The sequence below is a fragment of the Homo sapiens genome, chromosome 1, assembly GCF_000001405.40.
Source record: "Homo sapiens chromosome 1, GRCh38.p14 Primary Assembly".
Lineage (NCBI taxonomy): Eukaryota > Metazoa > Chordata > Mammalia > Primates > Hominidae > Homo > Homo sapiens.
The window spans coordinates 6,514,855-6,541,467 of record NC_000001.11 but is presented as its reverse complement, the minus strand read 5'-3'; the positions used below and the strand labels follow the sequence as shown (position 1 = coordinate 6,541,467).

The following is a 26,613-nucleotide window of genomic DNA, read 5'->3' as shown; positions in this document are numbered from 1 at the left end:
GCTCACACTTGTAATCCCAGCACTTGGGGAGGCTGAGGCTGGTGCATCACCTGAGGTAGGGAGTTCGAGACAAGCCTGGCCAACATGGGGAAACCCCATCTCTACTACAAATACAAAAATTAGCTGGGCATGGTGGTGCACGCCTGTAGTCCCAGCTCCTCGGGAGGCTGAAGCAGGAGAATTGCTTGACCGGGAGACGGAAGTTGCAATGAGCTGAGGTCAAGCCACTGACTCCAGCCTGGGCGGCAGAGCAAGTCTCCATCTCAAAACCCAAAAAAACAAAAATTAGCTGGGTTTGGTGGCACGTGCCTATAGTCCCAGCTACTTGGGACGCCGAGGCAGGAGAATCGCATGAACCCAGGGGTGGAGGTTGCAGTGAGCCAAGATCATTCCACTGCACTCCAACCTGGGCAACAGAGTGAGATTCTATCTCAAAAAAAAAAAAAAAAAAAAAAACGCTGTTAACCAGTCTACAGATTTTATTGAAAATTCACCAGTTATCCACAGTTCTACATCACTTAAAAAAAATAATATGTTATCCTTGTGCGGGGCCCATTGCCAGTCTTCTCTGTATCATTCCAGTTTTTTAGTATATGTGCTGCTGGAGTAAGTACCACCTTGCTTGCTTTTTTTTTTTTAAGATGGAGTCTTGCTCTGTCACCTAGGCAGGCTAGAGTGCAGTGGTGTGATCTGTGCTCACTGTAACCCCCGCCTCCTGAGTTCGAGCTATTCTCCTGTATCAGCCTCCTGAGTAGCTGTGACTGCAGGCGCACGCCACCATGCCCAGCTAATTTTTGTATTTTTAGTAGAGACAGCGTTTCACCATGTTGGCCAGGCTGGTCTCGAACTCCTGACCTCAGGTCATCTACTCACCTCTGACTCCCAAGTTCTGGGATTGTAGGCATGAGCCACTGTGCCTGGCCACAACTTTTTTGTTGTGTTTGCAACGTGGTGAGACCCTGTCTCTACAAAAAATTTAAAAATTAGTCGGGTGTGGTTTTTTGTCATCCCAAAATGAAAACTGTACTCATTAAAGAATAACTCTCGGCTGGGCTTGGTGGCTCATGCCTGTAATCCCAGCACTTTGGGAGACCAAGGCGGGTGGATCACGAGGTTAGGAGATCGAGACCATCCTGGCTAACATGGTGAAACCCCGTCTCTACTAAAAATACAAAAAATTAGCCAGGCGTAGTGGCGGGCGCCTGTAGTCCCAGCTACTTGGGAGGCTGAGGCAGGAGAATGGCATGAACCCAGGAGGCGGAGCTTGCAGTGAGCTGAGCTCTCACCACTGCACTCCAGCCTGGGCGACAGAGCAAGACTCTGTCTCAAAAAAAAAAAAAAAAGAATAACTCTCCTTGGGAGGCTGAGGCAGGAGAATCGCTTGAACCCGGGAGGGAGAGGTTGCGGTGAGCCGAGATCTCACCACTGCACTCCAGTCTGGGCAGCAAGAGCAAAACTCTGTCTCAAAAAAAAGAGTAACTCCCTTAACTCCCTCTTGTCCTCCTCTTGTCCTCTTTCCTAGCCCCTAGAGACTTCACCTCTGTTCTACTTTTTGTCCCTATGAATTTGGCTATTCTCATGTAAGTGGAGTCACACAATACTTATCCTTTGTCTGGCTTATTTCACTCAGCATAGTATTGTCAAAATCCATCCATGTTGTAGCATGTATCAAAATTTAATTCCTGGCCAGGTGCCATGGCTCACACCTGTAATCCCAGCACTTTGGGAGGCCAAGGCCGGCAGATTGCTTGAGCCTGGGAGTTTGAGACCAGGGTAGCATGGTGAAACCCAGTCCCTATTAAAAAAAATACAAAAGTTAGCTGGGCTTGGTGGTCCATGCCTATAGTCCCAGATATTTGGGAGTCTGAGGCAGGAGGATCACTTGAACCTGGGAGGTAGAGGCTGCAGTGAGCTGAAATTGCACCATTACACTCCAGCCTGGGTGACAAACAGTGAGATTCTGCCTCAATAAATAATAATAATAATAATTCTTTTTGATGGCTGGATGTTATTCAATTGTATGTGTATATCACATTTAGTTTATCCATTCAGCTGTTAAGGGACACTTGGCTTCTTTCCACATTTTGGCTTTCGTGAATAATCCTGCTATGAACATGGGTATTCAAATATCTCCTCCATATCCTGCTTTCAGTTCTTTCAGGTGTATACCGAGGAGTGGAATTGCTGGGTCTTATGGTAGTTCTGTGTTTAATGTTTTGAGAACTGCCAAACTGTTTTTCACAGTAGCTGCATTTTACATTCCCAGCAGCAATGCACAAGAGTTCTGATTTCTCCGTATCCTCACCAATGCTTATTTTGATTATAGCTGTCTGAGTTTGTGTGAAGTAATGTCTCATGTTGGTTTTCATTTACATTCCCTTAAATGACTAATGATGTTGAGCATGTACTTATTGGCCATTTGTATATCTTCTTTGGAAAAATGTCTGTTCCAGTCCTTGAATATTGCTTGTGTGTTTTTTTTGTTCGTTTGTTTCTGAGACAGAGTCTTGCTCTTTCGCCCAGGCTGAGGTGCAGTGGCGTGATCTCAGCTCACTACAGCCTCCACCTCCCGGGTTCAAGCAGTTCTCCTGCCTCAGCCTCCCAAGTAGCTGGAACTACACCACGCCTGGCTAATTTTTGTATTTTTAGTAGAGATAGGGTTTCACCACATTGGCCAGGCTGGTCTCGAACTCCTGGCCTCAGGCGATCCACCTGCCTCAGCATCCCAAAATGCTGGGATTACAGGCATGAGCCACCACACCCAGCCTGCTTGTTTTTTTGTTTTTTGTCTGTTTGTTTTCCTTTTTGAGACGGAGTGCCGAGGCTGGAGTGAAGTAGTGTGATCTCAGTTCACTGCAACCTCCGCTTCCTGGGTTCAAGTGATTCTCCTGCCTCAGCCTCCCGAGTAGCTGGGATTATAGATGCCCGCCACCATGCCCAGCTAATTTTTGTATTTTTAGTAGAGATGGGGTTTCACCATGTTGGCCAGGCTGGTCTCGAACTCCTGACCTCAGGTGATCCACCTGCTTGGCCTCCTAAAGTGCCTGGATTACAGGCGTGAGCCACGGCATCCGGTCCCAGCCTGCATGTTTTTGAATTGGATTGTTACTTTTTGTTGAGTTTAGTAGTTCTTCGTATTAATAGTAGTTCTTTATATTAATCCTTTATGAGATGTACAATCTGCAAATGTTTTCTCCTGTTCTGTAGGTTGTTTTTTTGCTTTCTTGACAATAACCTTTGATGCACAGTTCTTAATTTTGATGAAGTTCAGTGTATCTATTTTTTCACTTGTTGCCTATGCTTTTGGTGTTACATCCTTGAAATCATTACTAAATCCAATGTCATCATGATTGTCTCTAATGTTTTCTTGTAAGAGCTTTATAGTTTTTAACTTTTTAAATTTTTTTATTTTTAAATTTTTCAGCCTGAATTTGTTTGTTCAGTTTTTACTCTTTTTTTTTTTTTTTTTTTTTTTTGAGATGGAGTCTTGCTTTGTCGCCCAGGCTGGAGTGCAGACGGGGTTTCACCGTGTTAGCCAGGATGGTCTCAATCTCCTGACCTCATGATCCACCTGCCTCGGCCTCTCCAAAGTGCTGGGATTACAGGTGTGAGCCACCGCACCCAGCCCAGTTTTTACTCTTAAGTTTAGGTTTTTGATCCATTTTGAATTAATATTTTCATATAGTGTAAGGAATTGGTCCAGCTTCTTTCTTTTGAATATAGATATTGAGATTTTCCACCACCATTTGTTGAAAAGACTATCTTGAAGATTGTTTGATCTTATATGTATGGGCTTATTTCCTGGTTCCGTTTCTGTTTCATCAGTGTACATGTCTGTCCTTGACCCAGTATCATATTGTTTTAATTACTATAGCTTTTCGGTAAGTTTTGAAGTCAGTACAAGTGCCTTACCCATTTTTCAGTTGGGTTATTTGTTTTCTTGCTGTTGAGTTTCTTGTGTTCCTTACATATTTTGGATATTAACTCTTTATCAGATGGATGATTTACAGATGTTTTCTCCCATTCTGAGGGTTGTCTCTTTGGAATTTTTTCCTTTGTTATGCAGAAGCTTTTTAGTTTGATGCCATCTCATTTGTCTGTTGTTAACCTTTGTTTTCGGGGTCATATCCAAAAAATTGTTACCTAGACCAGTGTCATGAAGCTTTTCCTCTAGTAGGTTTACAGTTTCAGGTCTTAATACTTAAGTCTTTATTCCATTTTGAGTTGATTTTTGTATATGGTGTTTGATAAGGATATCTAGTATCCTTCTTCTCCCCGTGGATAACCAGATTTCCCGGCCTTATTTATTGAAGACTGTCCTTCCCCCTTGTTTTGTTATTAGCACCTTTGTCAGAAGTCAATTGGCTGTAAATGCAGTGTTTATTTCCAGGCTTTCTATGCTGTTCCATTGGGTGATATGTCTTTTTTTATGCCATTACCGTGCTTGGTTTTTGAGAGAGACAGTGTCTCACTCTGTCACCCAGGCTGGAGTGCATTAATTAGCACAATCATAGCTCACCGCAGCCTTGGATTCCTGGAATCAGGTGATCTGCCTTAGCTTCCCAAAGCACGGAGATGGCAGAGCCACCATGCCTGATCCTGCCATGCTGTTTTACTTAAAAATTAATTTAAAAATATTTATTTATTTATTGAGACCGGGTCTTGCTCTGTCACACAGGCTGGAGTACAGTGGCGTAATCACAGCTCACTGCATCCTCCACCTTCTGAGCTCAGGCTAGCCTTGCAGGTAGCTGGGAAAACAGGTATGCACCACCAAGCCTAACTCCATTTTTTTTAGACTTTGTAGAAACAGGGTCTCCCTATGTTGCCCAAGCTGCTCTCAAACTCCGGAGCTCAAGTGATCCTCCCACCTAAGCCTCCCACAGTCCTGAGATTACAAGTGTGAGCCACTGCACCTGGCCTTATTTTTTCCTTTGAGACAGGATCTCAGTCTGTCACTGAGGCTGGAGTACAGTGGTGTGATCATAGCTTACTGCAACCTCAAGCTTCTGGGCTGAAGGGATCCTCCTACCTCACTTTGAGTAGGTAGGATGACAGCTATTATTAGCCACCACACCTGTCTAACTTTTATTTTTTTATTTTATTTTATTTTATTTTATTTGAGACGGAGTCTCGCTCTGTCACCCAGGCAGGAGTGCAGTGGCGTGATCTCGGCTCACTGCAAGCTCCGCCTCCTGGGTTCACGCCATTCTCCTGCCTCAGCCTCCCGAGTAGCTGGGACCACAGGTGCCTGCCACCACGCCCGGCTAATTTTTTGCATTTTTAGTAGAGATGGGGTTTCACCACTTTAGCCAGGATGGTCTCGATCTCCTGACCTGGTGATCCATCCGCCTCAGCCTCCTAAAGTGCTAGGATTACAGGCGTGAGCTACCGCACCCGGCCCACACCTGGCTAATTTTTGAACAATTATTTGTAGAGGCAGTGTCTCACTTTGTAGCCCGGTCTGGACCATGCTCTTTTAATTATAACTGCTTTTGAAGTCAGAGAATGTGATACCTCCAACTTTTTTTTTTTTTTTGAGATGGAGTTTCGCTCTTGCTGCCCAGGCTGGAGTGCAATAGCACGATCTCGGCTCACTGCAACCTGTGCCTCCTGGGTTCAAGCAATTCACCTGCCTCAGCCTCCCAAGTAGCTGGGATTACAGGCACCCGCCACCATGCCTGGCTAATTTTTTGTATTTTTAGTAGAGGTGGGGTTTCACCATGTTGGCCAGGCTGGTCTCGAACTCCCGACCTCAGGTGATCCACCTGCCTTGGCCTCCCAAAGTGCTAGAATTATAGGTGTAAGCCACCATGCCCAGCTGACCCTGTCTTAAAAATAAACAAAAACAAGAAAACTTGGCTCTCATTATTCTGAACACATTAATTTATGTGTACAATATCCCTATGTATAAGCAGCCGCTCTGCCCTGCCGGCCACCTCCTAGGACCTGTCTGTCTACTGAGCTCCTCTTACGTCCTAGGTCCTGACTGCACCCTTGGCCTGGGCTCTCCAGCTGTACTGACCCTGGCTACTCCATGGCTCCATCCTTTTTTGAGCACTGTCTTAACTTTCAGGAAAAACAGGAAGTTCTGGGGTCATCTTTCACTTTCTCTTCCATAGCCTTGGAATGAGCTATTTTTCCAGAGAGCCCTGGCTCCTTTTCATGGAGAGAGATTGAAACCAGAGTTTCAGTACTGTGCACGCTTGTTGCCTCTGGTGTGTTATTGTTTCTAGATCCCCTCAGTGCACAGAGCTAGCATATATTGCATATTTAAACCCAAACATACATATGTATATGTGTATGTATGCATATAGATCTGTACTTCTGTAGATACCTTTTCTATCTGTCTCATTAAAACCAGGCACGGTGCTTCATGCCTGTAATCCTAGCACTGTGGCAGGCCGAGGCAGGCGGATCACTTGAGGTCAGGAGTTTGAGACCAACTTACTTGGCCAACATAACAAAACCTCATCTCTACTAAAAAAGTCCAAAAATTAGCCAGGTGTGGTGGCGAGTGCCTGTAATCCCAGCTACTTGGGAGGCTGAGGCAGGAGAATCACCTGAACTCGGGAGGTGGAGGTTGCAGTGAGCTGAGATTGCGCCACTGCACTCCAGCCTGGATGACAGAGTGAGACTCTGTCTCAAAAAAATAAAAAGAAAAAAGAGAGAAAGAGAGAGAGACAGAGAGCCATGAGTTTCCGACTCATCCGATTCTGGCTTAACACCCCAGGGGTCACTCTCGTTAGCCTTCTTCACTTTCATATTTGTAAGTTGGTTCTCTGGTGGGAAGAAACCTGCCTATGATTATTTACAATATATTTGCATATTTGCTCAGTCTTCTCTGAACTATACAGGCCACTCCCTCTGCTGCTGGCTACCCCACATCCCTGCCCTTACTGGCCCCAACCTTGAAAGGAGCCTCGCTGGCTGAATTCGCAGCTCCCATCATAGTGGCCACTCTGACGGTTGAGTGGCCTTGCTGCAATCACACTGACCCAGGCCATCTCCCTTCTGACCCTGTCACACACAGTCCTGGTCACTGGCCTGCTGACTGTGCAGACCCTGCCCTCATTGAACTGCTCAGCTCCCTGTCCCTGGCCAGAGGAGATATGTCATGATTAGGAGTGTGAACGCAGGAGCCGGCCCCTCTGGGTTTAAACCAGCTTGCTGTTTACTGACTGGCTGACCTTGTTCAAGTTGATCTCTTTCCCAATTTCCTCATCTGTAAAAATGAGGATACTACTACCTGCCACAGGGTTATGAAAATTAGAGGCTCTTGGCTGGGCATGGTGGCTCACGCCTGTAATCCCAGCACTTTGGGAGGCTGAGGTGGGTGGATCACCTGAGGTTGGGAGTTCAAGACCAGCCTGACCAACATGGAGAAACCCCGTCTCTACTAAAAATACAAAATAAGCCGGGCATGGTGGCACATGCCTGTAATCCCAGCTACTTGAGAGGCTGAGGCAGGAGAATCGCTTGAACCTGGCAGGCGGAGGTTGCTGTGAGCCAAGATCGCACCATTGCAGTCCAGCCTGGGCAACAAGAGTGAAACTCTGTCTAAAAAAAAAAAAAAAGAAAGAAAATTAGAGGCTATATGTGAAGGGCCTCTTAGAACAGAGTCATTGCTGTATTGCTATAAGACACACATGGCTATTCATTGCCCTTTCATTGGGATAGAAGCCCTGTGAGGGTGGGGATGTTTGTCTGTTTTGTTTACAGATATGTCCCAAATCACTGGAACAAGCCCAGCAGTTAGCAGATTTGTGTGTTCGCTGAATGAATGGCCATGTTAGGACATAATTGGCATTAGCCATTTATGTGAAAGTGAGCATGTCTTTGTGTTAAGTTGAAAGCTTAGATTTCCAAAAAATGGAATTAGAGTGTTCCTGTAGGTAGGATGGTCTCAGATTTCCTAAGGTTCTTTGTCAGTGATAACGGCTGAAACAAAACCCTCACCACCTTTTAAGTAGCCAGGATTGATCACTCACCTTACTCATCTGATTACTCATCTTTATCTTTTTAGGACCACCTTTCACTCACCTGAGGACTCCACAGAAGATGGTATATTATGGGAAACCTTCTTGTAAAAACAACTATGAGAATTATATTGACATAGTGAAATATGTGTTCAGCGCTTACAAGAGAGAGTCCCCTCTCATCGTCAACACTATGGGATGGGTTTCAGGTAAGCCTGCATGTGCACATCTGCAAGGGAAGGACAGGCAGTGTGAGTACTGTTGGTTTCAGACATTCACGTTAAAGCCCAGTGTTTTGTTTTTTGTTTTTAATTGAGGCAGGGTCTCACTCTGTCGCCCAGGCTGGAGTGCAATGGCGTGATCTCGGCTCACTGCATCCTCTGCCTCCCAGGCTCAAACAATCCTCCCACCTCAGCTTCCAGAGTAGCTGGGACCACAGGCGTGTGCCACTCTGCCCAGCTAATTTTTGTAGTTTTAGTAAAGATGGGGTTTTGCCATGTTGGCCATGCTGATCTTGAACTTCTGGCCTCAAGTGATCCGCCCACCTTGGCCTGTCAAGGCATGCTGGGATTACAAACATGAGCCACTGTGCCCAGCCGAAGTCCAACGTATTGATGGTTTCTTTGTCTTAGAACAAATGCATCCATTTGTCGTAGGAGCATGTCACTGTTCTTGAGCGCGTCACTGTTCTTGAGTGTATCAGCTGTGCTAATGTCTCTTCCCCACAGACCAGGGGCTCCTGCTTCTCATTGATCTGATCCGATTGCTGTCTCCCAGCCACGTGGTTCAGTTCCGCTCTGACCACAGTAAATATATGCCAGACCTTACCCCGCAGTATGTAGATGACATGGATGGCTTGTACACAAAAAGCAAGACCAAGATGAGAAATCGACGTTTCAGACTCGCAGCATTTGCAGATGCTTTGGAATTTGCTGATGAAGAAAAAGAGAGTCCAGTTGAGTTCACTGGACATAAACTGATAGGTGTTTATACAGACTTTGCATTCAGAATAACTCCAAGAAATAGGTAACTAACCCTCATTTGGCTGAAGAATTATTTTTCCTTCCGTCGAAAAAGACCTGCCATTCTCAATTCCTCTAAAGGCCTGAGTCCTCTAAGATCTTCAGGTCCCTGTCACAGCTGTGCATGCACAAAGACGAACCAGTTGTTTTCTGAACTGTTATGTTCCCAGTGGAAATATCCAGAAGTGTCCCCTACCTCTGGCTGCCAGCAACTTTGACTTAAAGGAGAGTCTTTACACTTCCTGTTTTTCCAGTTGGGGTCCGTCAAGGGGGGGCAGTGTTGGAAAGCCCAGTACTCTGTGAAAATGTGACCTCTGTGATGACAGGTGTGGGAGGTGGCCGTTGAGGGTTAAATGTCTACTTACCTTGTTGTGATTTGCCTTTCAGAGAGTCACATAACAAAATTCTTCGAGATCTGTCCATCTTGAGTTACCTTAGCCAGCTGCAGCCCCCGATGCCCAAACCACTTTCTCCTTTACATAGCCTGACACCCTATCAGGTAATCTGAACTTACAGGAGAAATTGTCTTCATTTTGTTACACACTTGTGTGGTTTTCTGTGTGCTGGGCGCTCTCCTAACCACTACATAACTCCTCGCTCATTTAATCCTCAGAACATCCCAGTGACACAGCTTGTGTCGTTATTCCCACTTTACAGATGGGGAACCTGAGGTGTAGAGAGGCTGAGGGACTCAGCACTAGGGGCTGGGCTGGCATGCAGGCCCAGGCAGTTCAGCTCCAGTGACTGCTCTTAGCCATGGTTCTGTACTGAGGATAAGTGTGGGTCCGTGCTGGGTTTGAATGTCCCATCTGGTCGCAGGGGCTGCTCCAGCACTTCCACTTTTCCGCTGTAGAGCAGGGGTGCTACTGGGCCTCAGAGAGTGAACGTGTGGATTCAGGGAGCGTTCACAGTGGAACCTGGCACCCAGAGAACACTCTTAAAGTACTTCACATTAGCCGGGCGTGGTGGCTCACACCTGTAATCCCAGCACTTTGGGAGGCCAAGGCGGGCAGATCACGAGGTCAGGAGATCGAGACCATCCTGGCTAACACAGTGAAACCCCCTCTCTATTAAAAATACAAAAAATTAGCCAGGCATGGTGGCACGTGCCTATAGTCCCAGCTACTCAGGAGGCTGAGGCAGGAGAATCGCTTGAACCCAGGAGGCGGAGGTTGCAGTGATCTGAGATCATGACACTGCACTCCAGCCTGGGTGACAGAGCGAGATGCCGACTTAAAAGAAAAAAAAAAGAAGTACTTCACATTACTGTCATCAAAAGTAGATTCCACCACCAGAGTATTTGCAACTTGGAATCCAGGCTGCTAATAATTGTTTTGGGAGGAAAGCATGATAGTGTTAGGATTCGGGATGATGAAAAAACAAAACTAGCGGCAGGTAGCACTTCTGAAATGCTTACTCTGTGCAGTACTCTGTTCTAAGCCTGTGTAACTCCACTACTTACCGTGGTCCTGTTATTATCCCCATTTTACAGATGGTAAAAGCAAGGCCAGGGACTGGGAGTCAGCTTGCCCAAAATGGTGTAGTCAAAGTTGAGGCTAGGACTGAAGCCGCAGGACGCCCGACTCTGAGCCCAGGTCTGTGCTCTGCCGCACAGCATGTCCGGTTTTGAGCGCTTGCTCTGTGCCAGGCACTCTGCGAAGCATGGAGGGGCTCAGTGACTTCATGGCCACCCTGTGAGAGAAAGGCTAAGACGTGCTTCATTTACAGCTTTGAGCATTGGGCATTGTCAGGTGGAAGCATTTGCCTTAGGTCACATAGGCTGAAGCGGCAGACCTGGGCAGCAAGGATATGTTTCTTGGGCCCGATGGTGGTGTGGGCTCCAGGCCTCTGAGTTATCTCCCCTGGAGAGTCTAAGTCACTTTGCTAATGGGGTTTTAGTTTATGGGTCATTTATTCATCTGGAGATGCTCTTTAAGTGAATGTGAGATTTATCTGCCAATACTTAAATCTGTCTTGTATTACTTCACATTTATTTATTTATTTATCTTTTTGAGATGGAATTTCACTCTTGTTGCCCATGCCAGAGTGCAATGCCACGTGCTTGGCTCACTGCAACCTCCGCCTCCCGGGTTCAAGCGATTCTCCTGCGTCAGCCTCCCGAGTAGCTGGGATTACAGGCACGTGCCACCACGCCCAGCTAATCTTTTGTATTTTTAGTAGAAACGGGGTTTCACCATGTTAGCCAGGCTGGTCTCGAACTCCTGACCTCAGATGATCCACCCGCCTCAGCCTCCCAAAGTGCTGGGATTACAGGCGTGTCCTCTGCACCCGGCCCACATTTATTTTTTAAATTTAAGTGTTTTTTGTTTCTTTTTTTTTGGAGACAGAGTCTCTCTCTTTCACCTAGGTTGAAGTGCAGTGGCACAATTTTGGCTCACTGTAATCTCCACTTTGTGGGTTCAAGTGATTCTCAATTCTAGTACCTCAGCCTCCCAAGTAGCTAAGACTAAAGGCATGCGCCACCACACTTGGCTAAATTTTTGTATTTTATTTATTTATTTATTTTTAATTTTTGTTTTTGAGATGGAGTCTTGGTCTGTCATTCAAGCTGGAGTGCAGTGGCACGATCTCAGTTCACTGCAACCTCCGCCTCCTGGGTTCAAGTGAGTCTTGTGCCTCAGCCTCCCAAGTAGCTGGGACTACAGGCACGCACCACCATCCCTGGCTAATTTTTGTATTTTTAGTAGAGACAGGGTTTCGCCATGTTGGCCAGGCTGGTCTCAAATTCCTGACCTCAAGTGATCAACCCACCTTGGCCTCCCAATGGGTTGAGATTACAGGCGTGAGCCACTGCGCCCAGCCTAAAGAATTTTTTATTTTATTTTTTATTTTTATTTTTTATTTATTAATTTTTTTTTGAGACCGAGTCTTGCTCTATCACCCAGGCTGGAGTGCGGTGGCAGGATCTCTGCTCACTGCAACCTCCGCCTCCCAGGTTCAAGCGATTCTTCTGCCTTAGCCTCCCGAGTAGCTGGGATTACAGGCGCCTGCCACCATGCCTGGCTAATTTTGTGTTTTTTGTAGAGACAAGGTTTCACCACGTTGGTCAGGCTGGTCTTGAACTCCTGACCTCGTGATCCACCCGCGTCGGCCTCCCAAAGTGCTGGGATTACATGCGTGAGCCACTGTGCCTGGCTGTTTTTATTCTTTAGAGATACTTTTGAGTAGGCACTTTGGCAGACCTATCTTTAGATAGCTGGTTAATCTAGTTGTAGAAATTAAGTGGTCTTTCAAAGTAGCCATGAATAGAGTGAGATGCAAATTCATTTTCCAGGTCCCTTTCAATGCAGTCGCACTCCGGATTACCCACTCTGATGTCGCCCCTACCCATATACTATATGCTGTAAACGCCAGCTGGGTTGGTCTTTGCAAGATCCAGGATGACGTCAGAGGATACACGAATGGGCCCATCCTGCTTGCCCAGACTCCAATCTGTGACTGCTTGGGCTTTGGTGAGTCTGAGAGTAAAACATATCCATAAACCTACTGAAAAGGATCCACTGCTTCAACTGTAGATGACTGGTCTTGACCTTGTAGCTGTGTCTAAGCTACAGAGGTCAGAGAACCCCCACTCATCTATATAGCACGCCTTAGGGGCTGGAGGCCAGGAAGGAAGCAGCTATTTCTCTGCTTCGTCTGCCAGCTCCTGTAAATGTAGGCTTCCCAAGGGCCTGGGCTTGGCCCTCCTCTTCTTGCTCGACACTTCTCCCCTAGGCTGTCTCAGTCACTGCTGGGTTCTAAATCCATTTTAGGCGTTGCCTTTTTGCAGTGTCCTCCAACACAGCTGTTCGTCTGCGTTCCAAACCCATCTTGTCAGTGTGCATCTTCACTTGAGTGCCTGACTGGCATGCAGACCTGGGATCCCCAGGACCCTCCTGCCCTCACCCTCTCCTCCTTGCCCCAGGCTCGTACTTGGTCCATTGGAAGATTCACTCTGACATCCAGGTCAGACCCTGGCCCCTCCTTGGCATCCCCTAGCCTTCATTTGGTACTTTCAGCCCATTAGATGGTCTGGTGGCTTCTCTCTTCAAAATATGTCAGCTTCTTCCACCTCTTCTCAGCATGCTAGTCAGCCACCGGCATCTACTGAAAAGTTTCTTAACTGAACTCTCCACTTCCTCTCTTAAAATTCATCCCTACAGCCAGGAATGACCTGAACCCAGGCGCAATTGTGCCACAGCCTGGCACTTCCCGTCACTCAGATCCAGGGTCTGGACCAGGGCTCAAAGTGCCCAGCGGGATTGGGTCCCCACTTCCTTGACCTGCCCTGGTTTCCTGAGGTCAATAAATTTGGAGTTTTGGAAGGGTGCTGGAGCTAAGTAGTCCCAAATTAGCAAAGTCCTCAAATGCACATTTCAGATTTGGACAACACTGTATTTCTCAAAAGCATTTTCACAGACCATAAAGGAGGAACAGTGATATCAGGTTGTCTTCTGTATATTCCTTAGTGGTGGATTTTCCCCCTGGCCTGTACTCACCAACAATCAAGGACTTTTTTGTTTTGTTTTTTTTTCCGAGACGGAGTCTTGCTCTGTCGCCCAGGCTGGAGTGCAATGGTGTGATCTCCGTTCACTGCAACCTCCACCTCCCAGGTTCAAACGATTCTTCTGTCTCAGCCTCCTGAGTAGCTGGGATTACAGGCATGTGCCACCACGCCCAGCTAATTTTGTATTTTTAGTACAGATGGGGTTTCACCACGTTGGTCAGCCTGGTCTTGAACTCCTGACCTCGTGATCTGCCCACCTCGGCCTCCCAGAGTGCTGAGATTACAGGCATTAGCCACTGTGCCCAGGCTGTTTTTTTTTTGTTTTGTTTTGTTTTGTTTTTGAGACAAAGTCTCTCTCTATTTGGGCTCACTGCAACCTCTGCCTCCCGAGTTCAAGTGATTCTTGTGTCTCAGACTCCCGAGTAGCTGGGATTACAGGTGCGCGCCACCATGCCCAGCTGATTTTTGTGATTTTAGTAGAGATGGGGTTTCACCATGTTGGCCAGGCTGGTCGCAAACTCCTGACCTCATTCGATGTACCCGCCTCAGCCTCCACAGTGCTGGGATTACAGGCATAGCCACCGCAGCTGGCCCAATCTAGGACTTTTGCATGTAGACCATTTTTGTTCCTCGTGGCTGAACACAGGGAAGGTACGAACTGCCCCAGTGTTCAAGGACTCCATCTCTTGACTCTTTGTATTTTTTTTTTTTTTTTGAGACAGTCTCACTCTGTCACCCAGGCTGGAGTACAGTGGCGCCATCTCGGCTCACTGCAAGCTCCACCTCCCGGGTTCAAGCTATTCTCCTGTCTCGGCCTCCCGAGTAGCTGGGACTACAGGCGCCCACCACTACGCCCGGCTAATTTTTTGTATTGTTAGTAGAGACAGGGTTTCACTGTGTTGCCCAAGCTGGTCTCGAACTCCTGATCTCAGGTAGTCCACCCGCCTCGGCCTCCCAGAGTGCTGGGATTACAGGCGTGAGCCACTGCACCTGGCCAGCTCTTTGTATTTTCAAAACAAAACAGAGTTGATATAAAGACTTATGTTCAAAACCATTCTGCAGTTTCTAACGATGGAGAAGTTTGATGTTTTCCAAAAGGGTGATTTTTGTGTTGTGCGCGTGTCTTGAAGGCATCTGTAGAGGCATTGACATGGAGAAGCGGCTGTACCACATCCTCACCCCTGTGCCCCCGGAAGAGCTAAGGACCGTGAATTGTCTGCTCGTTGGAGCTATTGCCATTCCACATTGTGTCCTTAAGTGCCAGGTGAGCCTTCCCCCGGGCACAGCCCTGGAAGGAGCCTACTCAGGTCCACAGAAGTGAGGAGCTGAAGTAGGGTCAGGGGTCATGGGAATGGGTGATCTGGGAAACCTATACTTTGTTGTAGATCCTGAGTGAGCCGAGACGGTGTCAGGGCCGCCTCCAAGGCCTGAGACTATGAATCACTGTCCCTCGTGGTGTCAGTGTCGCGATCTGGGCTCACTGCAACCCGTGGTGGAGCCTTTACATAGGAGTAGGTTGTGTTGGAGCAAGCAGAGGCCCTCCCAGGTTTGCCCTCCTGAGGACAGTCTTCAGAGGCATCACGGGACCAGGTCAAGGCGTCTGTGTGCCCCAGAGCCAGCCACAGGGACTGCGAGTGGGCTCTGGGAACGGGGGATATTCCTACCATTCTCATCCTCCAGTGTCCCTCATTTGAAAGGGACGCACACTGCACCCCCACTCTGCCTCACGCTGTTTGCTGTGTTGATGGAATGGGACAGAAGGGAGGCCTTGGCACGTTTGTTACCGAGCCAGTTGATTAAAGGGGGCTCTGAAGGAAGGGATCAAATGCCTTAAAAGTGAGAAGTCCCCACCCAGACCATCACCATGACACTGCCTTCTAGGTGTGAGAGAGCACTGTAAACCCCTCTGGGCTGGACCTGGAGTGTTTCCATGCATTCTCTGTGTTTCCGTTTCAGCGTGGGATCGAAGGGACAGTACCTTATGTCACAACGGATTACAATTTTAAACTTCCTGGAGCATCAGAGAAAATTGGAGCAAGAGAACCTGAGGAGGCACATAAAGAGAAACCATACCGAAGACCTAAGTTCTGTCGAAAAATGAAGTGATGCTCGCGTTTTTAATAAGGGAAGAAACTTTCCTACCAGAAAGCTTTGTCTCAAGCCTGACCACAAGAGACATGATGGAGTTTCATGGCCATGAATGGTGCCCTTATTAGCAACAGTGTTTTTTGTGTAATTCGTGAATGTCATATAGTAGTCTTAAGTTTCTCTTTTAAAGCTGCATGAGCTAGAATTTGTTCTAGTCTTCTGTGTGATACTCATACTTGCTGTCCAGAGGGAGTAAAACAGCAGAGAACAGTTTGTGTGCCATTAAAACAGAGATTCCTCAGAAAGTTCTTCAGGGACCTGGTTATTAGAATCAGGATAAAAATAAGGAAACTGGGGCCATTACAATGTACCGAGAAGGAAGGAAGAAGGCCGACCTGCAGGATCTCAAGCATAATGGATACAAGGGCTCGCCACGGGCCTTGCCTGAGCCATGTGCAGAGCTGGGGTCCAGCGGTCTGCTTCCTTGGAGCCAGTGTGGATGGTTACAGCCCATCCATTTGGTGCAGTTGTACTTGGTCTGTTATATTCAATCAAGGTTTAATAGATAGGGCTGGGCATGGTGGCTCATGCACACCTGTAATCCTAGCACTTTGGGAGGCTGAGGCGGGAGGATTGCTTGAGCCTCGGAGTTCCAGGCTGGAGTACACCAACTACTCCAGCCTGAGCGACAGAGTAAGACCTTATCTTTTAAAAAAGAAAAGAAAAATTTAAACGGGTTTGATAGATATAAATTTGGACCCAAGAGCCCTTCCTTTTTTTTAATCCTGAGGTTTTATGCTGAGGAAATTTCTTTCAAATCTGGAAAACCTCGGGGCCAGGCGCAGTGGCTCACGCCTGTAATTCCAGCACTTTGGGAGGCCAAGGCAGGCGGTTCACGAGGTCAGGAGATTGAGACCATCCTGGCTAACACAGTGAAACTCCGTCTCTACTAAAAATACAAAAAACTAGCTGGGCGTGGTGGTGGGCGCCTATAGTCCCAGCTACTCAGGAGGCTGAGGCAGGAGAATGGCATGAACCCAGGAGGCGGAGCTTGCAGTGAGCCGAGGTCACGCCACTGCACTCCAGCCTGGGCAACAAGAGCAAGACTCCATCTCAAAAAAAAAAAATAATAATCTGGAAAACCTCTTCTGGGGGCTCTTATAAAAGTAGATTTGTCCAAATTGACTTCTGATCTGAGGCCAGAGACAACCACAGGGCAGAGCTGGAGACTGGGCTGTTTTGAAGGAAGAAGGACTGGCAGACCAGCTCTTGGGAAAGCTCCATTATTGCCTGTGGGAGGCTGGACCTGAACTTGCACCTATGAACAACCCTGCCATTTAGAGCTTTTTCCTGGGGGTGCCGGCGGCTGGTGACCAGACTGCCATTCTCCACGTTCTCCCTGGTGCTTCCGACTCTGTCCTCTAGGTTGGAAGTGGTTTGTGTAAACGGGTGATGGGACCAGGTCACATCATTTCTGCATTTAAGACAGCAGGATACTTCCTGGGGCTGAGGTTCAAACTGGTATTGTGACCACCGCTTTGACAGAATTCCATCTTCCCAGCATGATCACATTGTAAGACTATTAGGATGTGTGGGTTTTAACACTTATATACACTTATACAACTGTTGGTTATCATTGTCTTTAGTATTTTACAGTGGCCCCTCAGCACCTCTTAGACCCAACAGCAAAGGACTTAAAATAAGCACAGGAAACCTTGCTATGGTGATTAGTTTTGATACCTTTGAGACAATTGAGTCTAGCTTCTTAGTTGCCCCTTATTTATGTTGAAATCTGGCTCATTCATATGATGTTTTACTGTGCTGGCCTTGTAAAGAATTTTAAGACAATCCATCACCATCAATGTTTTGCCTTTCTCCACTTTCGTGTATCTTACAGTTATACTCACTGGAGGTCATTTGCAGCAAGGCTCTGGAAGAATGAAACTGGTGCCCTGTAATTGCATTTGCATTCAATCTAGGTTTGCCTTCAGGCTTTAAATGCGGCCTGTATGAAGGTCAAGTCTTTTTCTTCAGTCCCTATCAGTAAAGAAAAATCGTTGCCTCTAGAGGGAGCTATCAGCTGTGGGTCAGGTGGCCGTACTGGGGCTAGAGTTGGCCCAGGAAGCTGTACAGGGTTTAGGGAAGGAGGTTCGGAGACAGGGAGCCAAGGCCTCTGTCAGGTCTAGCTTGTGCCGGTCAGACCTGCAGCAGCACCATTCTCCAGGATGACAATTCATCCCATTATTGATGGCAGTGGCCTTTTTATCCTTTTTTTTTTTTTTTTTTTTTTTTGAGATGGAGTTTCGCTCTTGTTGCCCAGGCTGGAGTGCAGTGGCGCAATCTGGGCTCACTGCCACCTCCGCCTCCCGGGTTCAAGTGATTCTCTTGCCTCAACCTCCCGAGTAGCTGGGATTACAGGCATGCGCCACCATGCCTGGCTGATTTTCTATTTTTAGTAGAGAAGGGGTTTCACCATGTTGGCCAGGCTGGTTTTGAACTCCTGTCCTCAGGTGATCCACCTGCCTTGGCCTCCCAAAGTGTTGGGATTACAGGCATGAGCCACCGCACCCGGCTGGTGGCAGTGGCTTTAAGGGCATTTAGAAGAAGGACAAGATTGGACTTTTTATCATTTCCACAGTCTGTTATGGGTCAGATTAGGTAGTAAGGAGTTCTCCATTGGAGCTATTCTTTTTTTTTTTTCTTTTTTTTTGAGACAGAGTCTCGCTCTGTCACCCAGGCTGGGGTGCAGTGGCACGACCTTGGCTCACTACAGCCTCTCCCCTCCCGGGTTCAAGTGATTCTTCTGCCCCAGCCTCCCAAGTAGCTGGGATTACAGGTGAGCGCCACCATGCCTGGCTAATTTTTATATTTTTAGTAGAGATAGGGTTTCACCGTATTGGCTAGGCTGGTCTCGATCTCCTGACCTTGTGATCCGCTTGCCTCGGCCTCCCAAAGTGCTGAAGCAATTTCTTTTTTTTTTTTTTTTTTGAGACAGAGTCTAGCTCTGTCGCCCAGGCTGGGGTGCAGTGGAGTGATCTCGGCTCACTGCAACTTCCGCCTCCCAGGTTTAAGCGATTCTCCTGCCTCAGCCTCCTGAGTAGCTGGGATTACAGGCGTATGCCACCACGCCCAGCTAATTTTTGTATTTTTAGTAGAGACAGGGTTTCACCATGTTGGTCAGGCTGGTCTCGAACTCCTGACCTCGTGATCCGCCCGCCTTGGCCTCCGAAAGTGCTGGGATTACAGGCGTGAGCCACTGCGCCTGGCCTGAAGCTATTCTTTACAAAAGCTCTTAGTTTTTGTTTGTTTGTTTGTTTTTTTCTTTTGCGACGGACTCTCTGTCGCCAAGGCTGGAGTGCAGTGGCCTGATCTCAGGTCACTGCAACCTCTGCCTCCTGGGTTCAAGCGATTCTCCTGCTTCAGCCTCCCAAGTAGCTGGGATTACAGGCGCCTGCCACCACACCCAGCTAATTTTTGTATTTTTAGTAGAGATGGCGTTTCACTTTATTGGTCAGGCTGGTCTCGAACTTCCAACCTCAGGGGATCCGCCTGCCTTGGCCTCCCAAGGTGTTGGGATTACAGGCATAAGACACTGTGCCTGGGCCTCTTAGTAATTTTTGTATGTAATTTTCAAAGTATCCGGGATTACAGGCGCCCGCCACTACACTAGCTAATTTTTTTTGTATTTTTAGTAGAGATGGGGTTTTACTATGTTGGCTAGGCTGGTCTCGAGCTCCTGACCTCGTGATCCGTCCACCTTGGCCTCCCAAAGTGCTGGGATTACAGGCGTGAGCCACCGCGCCCGGCCTAGGTCATTTGTTTTTGGGTTTGGATGGCAAGATCATGGATAAGACAGCAGGCTTTGATTATAGAGCTCTGAGTTCAAATCCTGGCTCTACCACTTGTCAGTGGTGTAACTTGGAGGAAGATGCTTAGCCTGAGCCTGTTTTATGTTTTGAAGATTGGGTAATTGTCCTTCCTTCAGTGTTCCTGGGTGAGGAGTAAGTGAAGTCATGTCTATAAGAGATGTAGCACAGTCTCCGGCATGTAGAAACGGTCAGTAACTCCTAGTGTGTAGCTAGCCTCTGATGAGATGGTAAACTCAGGAGGCTGGCACCACGGCTGTGCTACTCACGGTCATGCTGGAGGGATGCAGAAACTAAATGAATCCACAGCTACTTACTCATCTTGCCTCTGGCAGGTTCACCTTAAAATTGTTGCTACCAAGCTTCCTGTGGTCAAAGAGCCCTTGAGGAAGCAAGCTCCACGGCCACCATAGATAACCCATTCCTGAAAGTTTTTCATAAACCCCCACTTGTTGCTTTTAAAATTTTATAAGCAGCTTACACATGTAGAAAATGATCCTCCAGCCCACCACCACATAGTAATCACTGACACTGTGAGGTGTCTCAGCTGGGGTTCTGCTGTGTGTGTGTGTATTTTACAAAATATGTATGGTTTCTGTTCAGCTCTTTTCAGTTAACAGATGAACTTTTGTATCATTAAATATTTTTGAAAACATGAATTTAGTTGTGTAATTTTATGTAGATAGGTCATTTTATTCCAGGTAATCACTTAAATGCTTAGAAGAAACTATAGTGAAAAAACACTGGGAGGAAAAAAAATGTTGAAAGGCGGTTAATGAAGTGTGGAGACTCCAGCAAATGCTTGTGATGTGTTTGTTTGTTTGTTTTGTTGTGCCCTTTTTTTTCTTTTTGAGACAGAGTCTCTTTTGCCCAGGCTGGAGTGCGATGGTGCAATCTCGGCTCACTGCAATTTCCACCTCCCAGATTCAAGCAATTCTCCTGCCTCAGCTTCCCCAGTAGCTGGGACGACAGGCAGGCACCACCACACCCAGCTCACTTTTGTATTTTTACTAGAGAGGGGGTTTCACCATATTGGCCAGGCTGGTCTTAAACTGACCTCAGGTGTTCCACCCGCCTCGGCCTCCCAAAGTGCTGGGATTACAGGCATGAGCCACTGTGCCTGGCCTGTTTTGTTGTTGTTGTTTTTAACCATTGAAGTATTGAGTGCAGTGGGAGTTTATTTTTTCAGTATTTTTAATTTTTATTTGTCACTGACTTGAAGCTCAAGTGGGAGTTTAATTTTCCTGTCTTGGTTCATATGTAAGTAAAGAGGGGATGTTGCATTCTTTCTGGACTGTCTTTGGGAGTGTATTAGAAGGAAACAGGGCTTTGCTCCTGGAAGAGTTCAAGTTTTAAAAAACTAAAATGACTCATGCCTGTAATCCCAGCACCTTGGAAGGCTGAGGCAGGAGGATCACTTGAGGCCAAGAGTTTGAGATCAGCCTGGTCAACATAGTGAGACACCATCTACTTAAAAGAAAAACAAAAAAAAAACTGAAACAAACCCCCACCTAGTGCTGTGCCGATAAAACTGCCTCTCGGCAGCGAGGACTCAGCCCTTGTCTTCCCACACCTCATAGGGTTGGGCCTAGCAGAGAGAGATTGGCTGACAAGCCCAGCCTGAACAGTGGCTAAAGTAAATATGGGGGCCATCTATGCAGTAAGTGGGGAAGCCTACGTGATGTTCAGGGCCTTTTCAGAAAGACCTTGCTAAGTTAAGTATTCCCAAGGCTTTGCCAGGAAGAGCGGTAGCCGCCGAGTTGGGGGCAGCAGGTCCAGTCTGCAGTGCCAGGAGCTGAGCAAGCAAAGTCTTGCGAATCAGCAGAGTTCAGCTGGGCAGACATGTGCTGGGCTGGGAAGCCAAGGGTAGCTATGGTAACCGGCCCTGAGGCGGCTGCGGTGCTCTGCAGACTGGCTTGGGTTTTTCTAATGTTTTGAGGCTCACTTGATCTCCCGCTGTGACCAGCCCCTCTCTGCCTGGCAGGGGAAAGCCACCAAACTAAGGCCTTCCTGGTAGCCAAGGAGCCCAGCAGAGGGGCTGCTGCTGGCTGCTGGGATTGCAGAGGCCGGGGTCTCTGTGGTGTTGCTTTCCTGGAAAGGAGGGACGGCACCTCCAGGGCAGCCAGCAGTGTGGGAGCCCATTCCAGGGCGCAAATGGGCACTCAGGAATGGAAAATCCAAGAAGGAACCAACCACCAACAAGGAAATGCAGTGTGAGCGGCGGCTGCGAAGTCTGTGCCTTCAAATATACAGCGCCCAGGGGACCTGTGTTGGACGGGGAGCAAATTGGCAGGGCTGAGAGCGCCTTGGTTTTCTGTGCAGACAGGTCCAGCTGCAGAAATTAAGACTGGGGCTGAGTCGGGGAGAAGCCTTCCATGTTGAGATGGCAACTGGGCAAAGCAGGACGGAGACCTGTGTGTCTGATTAGAGAGGCCTGTGGCATTGGCATGTGGCTGGAGGTCCAGGCAGGGTGCCACCACCGCAGAGGTCAAGCATGAATTCAGTCCTGACAAAACATGGGTCTCCACCTCGAAGCTGGCTCAGCCTTTGTTCAGGAACCGGTGAGTATGTTTTCTATCTCTTTTGTCTAGAAAGGAGGTTTGAGGACACAGAGTGAAAGGAGGGGCTTTGCAGGTCTTGGAGGGCTCCAAGGACTCACACTCACTGAATTAGTCCGGACGGTTTAAGAGCCACTTGCAGGCTGGATCCATTTGGTCTCATTCTTCCATTAATCAGTGAGTTAAGCCCTCCAAGCCCTGCAGTTTGAGCCATCAGCTCTGATTTGAGGGCAGAGGAGGGGGACTTGCTGCTCAGCCATCTAACTCCTGACAGAAGAAAGACCTAGACTCCATATGCCGAAGGGTTGCTGGGCGCAGTGGCTCACGCCTGTAATCCCAGCACTTTGGGAGGCCGAGGCAGGCGGATCACAAGGTTAGGAGATCGAGACCATCCTGGTTAACACGGTGAAACCCCGTCTCTACTAAAAATACAAAAAATTAGCTGGGCGTGGTGGCACGCACCTGTAGTCCCAGCTCTCGGGAGGCTAAGGCAGGAGAATGGCGTGAACCCGGGAAGCGGAGCTTGCAGTGAGCAGAAATCGTGCCACTGCAGTCCAGCCTGGGCAACAGAGCAAGACTCCGTCTCAAACAAAAACAAAAACATATGCCAAAGGGTTGCTCTGGTGGCAGGTTGGCTTTGCTGCTGTGGCTCTCGTGTTAGAGGAGGGTTACCTGTTTCCTCCTCTGTGACATAGAAAGTGGGGCAAGAAAGATGCCCCAAGGCCCTTCAGACTGTCCCATTTTGTGCCTTCAAGTTGCACGCCCCTGGCAAGGATGGTCTGGAACCGTTCCCAACCTTGTCTTTGTAGCTCTCGGGAAGGGCCAGGAAATTCCTCCTGCACATCCATATTTTCTTTTCTTTTTTCTTTTTCTTTTTTTTTTTTTTTTGGGATGGAGTTTCACTTTTGTTGCCCAGGCTGGAGTGCAATGGTGCGATATGGCTCACCACAAGCTCCGCCTCCTGGGTTCAAGTGATTCTCCTGCCTCAGCCTCCCGAGTAGCTGGGATTACAGGCATGCGCCATCAAGCCCGGCTCATTTTGTGGTTTTAGTAGAGACGGGGTTTCTCCATGTTGGTTGGGCTGGTCTTGAACTCCCAACCTCAGGTGATCTGCCTGCCTCGGCCTCCCAAAGTGCTGGGATTACAGGCGTGAGCCACCGCGTCTGGCCCTGCACATCCATATTTTCAAGTTTACTTTTAATATCCGCCATGACACGGCCGGGCGCAGTGGCTCACACCTGTAATCCCAGCACTTTGGGAGGCTGAGGCGGGCGGATCACAAGGTCAGGAGATCAAGACCATCCTGGCTAACATGGTGAAACCCCGTCTCTACTAAAAATACAAAAAATCAGCTGGGCGTGGTGGCAGGCGCCTGTAGTCCCAGCTACTCGGGAGGCTGAGGCAGGAGAATGGTGTGAACCTGGGAGGCGGAGCTTGCAGTGAGCCAAGATGGAGCCACTGCACTCCAGCCTGGGCGACAGAGCGAGACTCTGTCTCAAAAAAATATATGTATATATATATCCGCCATGACGCATTTTGGGAGTCGGGGGTCAGGAATAGCGTTCATGAAATCCAGTAACATTCTCCTACCCGAGTTGGAGCCTGGTCTGGGAAACATCCCGGCCCCAGCGGGATAGCCTGGCCTGGCCTGGCCTCGGGGCATTTGGGCCATGGACCCTTCTGTTTGTCGTCAGATCTGAGCCTGTTCCAACCTTTATCTCTGTCTCCCTGATGGCTGGCCCGACAGATTTATGAAGCTGACAGCGAGTCATGGAGAATTCCTCCCAGGGCCATCCCCTCCCCAGCAAGGAATCTGAGCTGCTGACTTTTTCTTCCTTTGCTCACCCCCACAAGCTCATCCCCTGCTAGTATTCAGGGAATATAGAGTTATGTGAGCCACAGTGACAGCGACAGCATGTTGACATGTGAGCCCCTAGCACTCACATAGTAAAATGGCCACTTAATTAAATAAGCCTGGCCCTGCTTATTTACTGAAGGGAGATTGCGTCCAGGTGTGGGTGACACTGGGGGTTACAGACCTTTTGGAGTGTCCCCTGTATCATACCTACCCCATGAACAGCAGAGAATGGTCACCTATTCTCAGCATATGCTTGGTTGTATCTTTTTTTTTTTTTTTTTTTGAGATGGAGTCTCACTCTGTCACCCAGGCTGGAGTGCAGTGGCGCGATCTCGGCTCACTGTAACCTCCGCCTCTCAGGTTCATGCCATTCTTCTGCCTCAGCCTCCCAAGTAGCTGGGACCACAGGTGCCCACCACCACACCTGGCTAATTTTTTGTATTTTTAGTAGAGATGGGGTCTCAGGCGTGAGCTACCGCGCCTGGCCTTTTTTTTTGTATTTTTAGTGGAGATGGGGTTTCACCATGTTGGCCAGGCTGGTCTCAAACTCCTGACCTCAAGTGATCCACCCGTCTTGGCTTCCCAGAGTGCTGAGATTATAGGTGTGAGCCACCTTGCCCAGCCACAGAGGTATTACTTTTATAAGCAGAACAAAAGTGTACATGTGTGTGTGTGTGTGTGTGTATATATATATATATATGTGTATATATATATATATATATACACATATATACACACACATATATATATACACACACATATATACACATATATATACACACATATATATACACATATATATAACACACACACATATATATACACATATATATATACACACACACATATATATACACACATATATATATATGCCAGTACAAAAAACTTGCCAATACATAAAAACATTCCTCATCTTTTATTTTATATTTTTTTGAGACAGAGTCTCACTGTGTTGCCCAGGCTGGAGTGCAGTGGTGTGATCTCGGCTCACTGCAACCCCCACCTCCCGGGTTCAAGCAGTTCTCCTGCCTCAGCCTCCCCAGTAGCTGGGATTACAGATGCCCGCCACCACGTCCAGCTAATTTTTGTATTTTTAGTAGAGATGGGGTTTCACCATGTTGGCCAGGCTAGTCTGGAACTCCTGACCTCAGGTGATCCACCCTCCTCGGCCTCCAAAGTGTTGGGATTGCAGGCATGAGTCACTGCGCCTGGCCTCCTCATCCTTTTTAATGGCTTCACGATATACATGGATATGCCTGAAATTTTAAACCAGGCCTCTAATAGCAAACTTTTGGATTGTTTCCAATATTTCACCTATTTGTTTTTTCTTTTGAGACAAGGTCTTGCTATATCGCTTAGGCTGGTCTCTGAAAGTCCTGGGCTCAAGCAATCCTCCTGCCTCAGCCTCCTGAATAGCTGGGTGTGTGCCACGAAGCCCAGCCCAGTTTTTCATTCTTGCAAATGGTGCCATAGTGGACATTCTTGTGTCTGTGTCTGTGTGCACTTGTGAAAGAGCATCTGTAGAGGGAATTCCTAGGACAGTGGAATTTCTGTGTGGAAGGCTGTGAGCAATTTCATTCTGACATTTCCAGATTGTCATCCAGACAGCCACTTATTCTCCCACCAGCAGAGTAAGTGGTCACCGTCTTCCATGTCCATGTCCCTGAGATATGAGGGGCATGACTAGTCAGGTGACTCCTTATGTGGTCACCAGGCATTTCCCTCTTGTCCACTCACATTGCTGAAATGCCATGGCTCTTGGCAGAGGAGCAGGGGCAGCGGTAGGGGACTCTGGGGTCATGCCTCCAGAACTTCCGAGGGTGGTGTCCAGAGGATACACTATATTAAATTTGCTTATCTTTCTGGTTAGATTTCCCACTTCTAAAGACCCTCTTACATAGTCTTTTTTTTTTTAATTTAATTTTTTGCTGAGACAGAGTCTTGCTCTGTTGTCCAGGCTGGTTTCAACTCCTGGCCTCAAATGATTCTCCCACCTCAGCCTTCCCAAGTGCTGGGATTATAGGTGTGAACAACCATGCCCAACCTCATACATTTTTTTTTTTGAGACAGTGTCTCACTCTGTTACCCAGGCTGGAGTGCAGTGGCAAAATCTTGGCTCACTACAACCCCCACCTCCTGGGTTCAAGTGATTCTCCTGTCTCAGCCTCCCCAATAGCTGGGACTACAGGCGCCCGCCACCACACCCGGCTAATTTTTGGTATTTGTAGTAGAGACGGGGTTTCACCGTGTTAGCCAGGATGGTCTCAATCTCTCGACCTCGTGATCTGCCTGCCTCAGCCTCCCAAAGTGCTGGGATTACAGGCGTGAGCCACCACACCCGGCCTCATCCAGCTTTTTTAGTTGTCCCAAATGGGAAGGTGGGTCTGATTTATTGACTCCGTCACTGTTGGAAGCAGAGTTCCTACTGAAGGCTCTAAATGTTCAAAGCATTTAGCACATTGTCTATTTGTAGCTGTTGTTATATCCAAAATTCGGTATGATTTTCTTTCTTTCTTTTTATTTTATTTTTTTATTTTTTGATGGAGTCTTGCTCTCTCGCCAGGCTGGAGTACAGTGGTACCATCTTGGTTCACTGCAACCTCTGCCTCCCAGGTTCAAGCAGTTCCCCTGTCTCAGCCTCCTGAATAACTGGGATTAATGCCTGGCTAATTTTTTGTATTTTTAATAGAGTTGGGGTTTCACTATGTTGGCCAGGCTGGTCTTAAACTCCTGAC

The 26,613-nt window shown here is 47.8% G+C and overlaps 2 protein-coding genes and 1 pseudogene across 6 annotated transcripts in view, besides 3 other annotated features; 2 read left to right on the top strand and 1 right to left on the bottom strand.

Moving 5' to 3' along the window:
- Positions 1 to 20,121, top strand: part of NOL9 (nucleolar protein 9) — a 33,167-nt gene extending 13,046 nt beyond the window's left edge. For all 5 annotated transcript variants that reach the window (NM_024654.5, XM_047430565.1, XM_005263493.5 and 2 more), the window contains 6 exons: positions 8,027 to 8,188; positions 8,708 to 9,005; positions 9,389 to 9,500; positions 12,297 to 12,474; positions 14,639 to 14,772; positions 15,465 to 20,121. In NM_024654.5, coding sequence (NP_078930.4) covers positions 8,027 to 8,188; positions 8,708 to 9,005; positions 9,389 to 9,500; positions 12,297 to 12,474; positions 14,639 to 14,772; positions 15,465 to 15,614 — 1,034 coding nt within the window. In that variant the 3' untranslated portion in view covers positions 15,615 to 20,121. The remainder of the gene's footprint in view (positions 1 to 8,026; positions 8,189 to 8,707; positions 9,006 to 9,388; positions 9,501 to 12,296; positions 12,475 to 14,638; positions 14,773 to 15,464) is intronic.
- On the bottom strand, positions 504 to 614 carry RNU6-731P (RNA, U6 small nuclear 731, pseudogene; annotated as a pseudogene).
- Positions 20,885 to 21,179: an enhancer, noted in NCBI's record as "tiled region #5048; K562 Activating DNase matched - State 8:EnhW, and HepG2 Activating non-DNase unmatched - State 23:Low". NCBI's record gives its function as "activates a minimal TATA promoter and a strong SV40 promoter by Sharpr-MPRA in K562 cells, with weaker activity in HepG2 cells {active_cell/tissue: K562 | HepG2}" and the evidence as "EXISTENCE:reporter gene assay evidence [ECO:0000049][PMID:27701403]".
- Positions 21,245 to 21,539: a silencer, noted in NCBI's record as "tiled region #8211; K562 Repressive non-DNase unmatched - State 8:EnhW". NCBI's record gives its function as "represses a minimal TATA promoter and a strong SV40 promoter by Sharpr-MPRA in K562 cells {active_cell/tissue: K562}" and the evidence as "EXISTENCE:reporter gene assay evidence [ECO:0000049][PMID:27701403]".
- The window catches only part of PLEKHG5 (pleckstrin homology and RhoGEF domain containing G5), a 52,971-nt gene continuing 47,733 nt past the window's right edge, over positions 21,376 to 26,613 (top strand). The window contains exon 1 of the mRNA NM_198681.4: positions 21,376 to 22,023. The gene's annotated coding sequence lies outside the window, so the exon portion shown is untranslated. The remainder of the gene's footprint in view (positions 22,024 to 26,613) is intronic.
- Positions 21,993 to 22,193: a silencer, noted in NCBI's record as "peak31 fragment used in MPRA reporter construct". NCBI's record gives its function as "represses an SCP1 promoter by STARR-seq MPRAs in K562 erythroleukemia cells {active_cell/tissue: K562}" and the evidence as "EXISTENCE:reporter gene assay evidence [ECO:0000049][PMID:32103011]".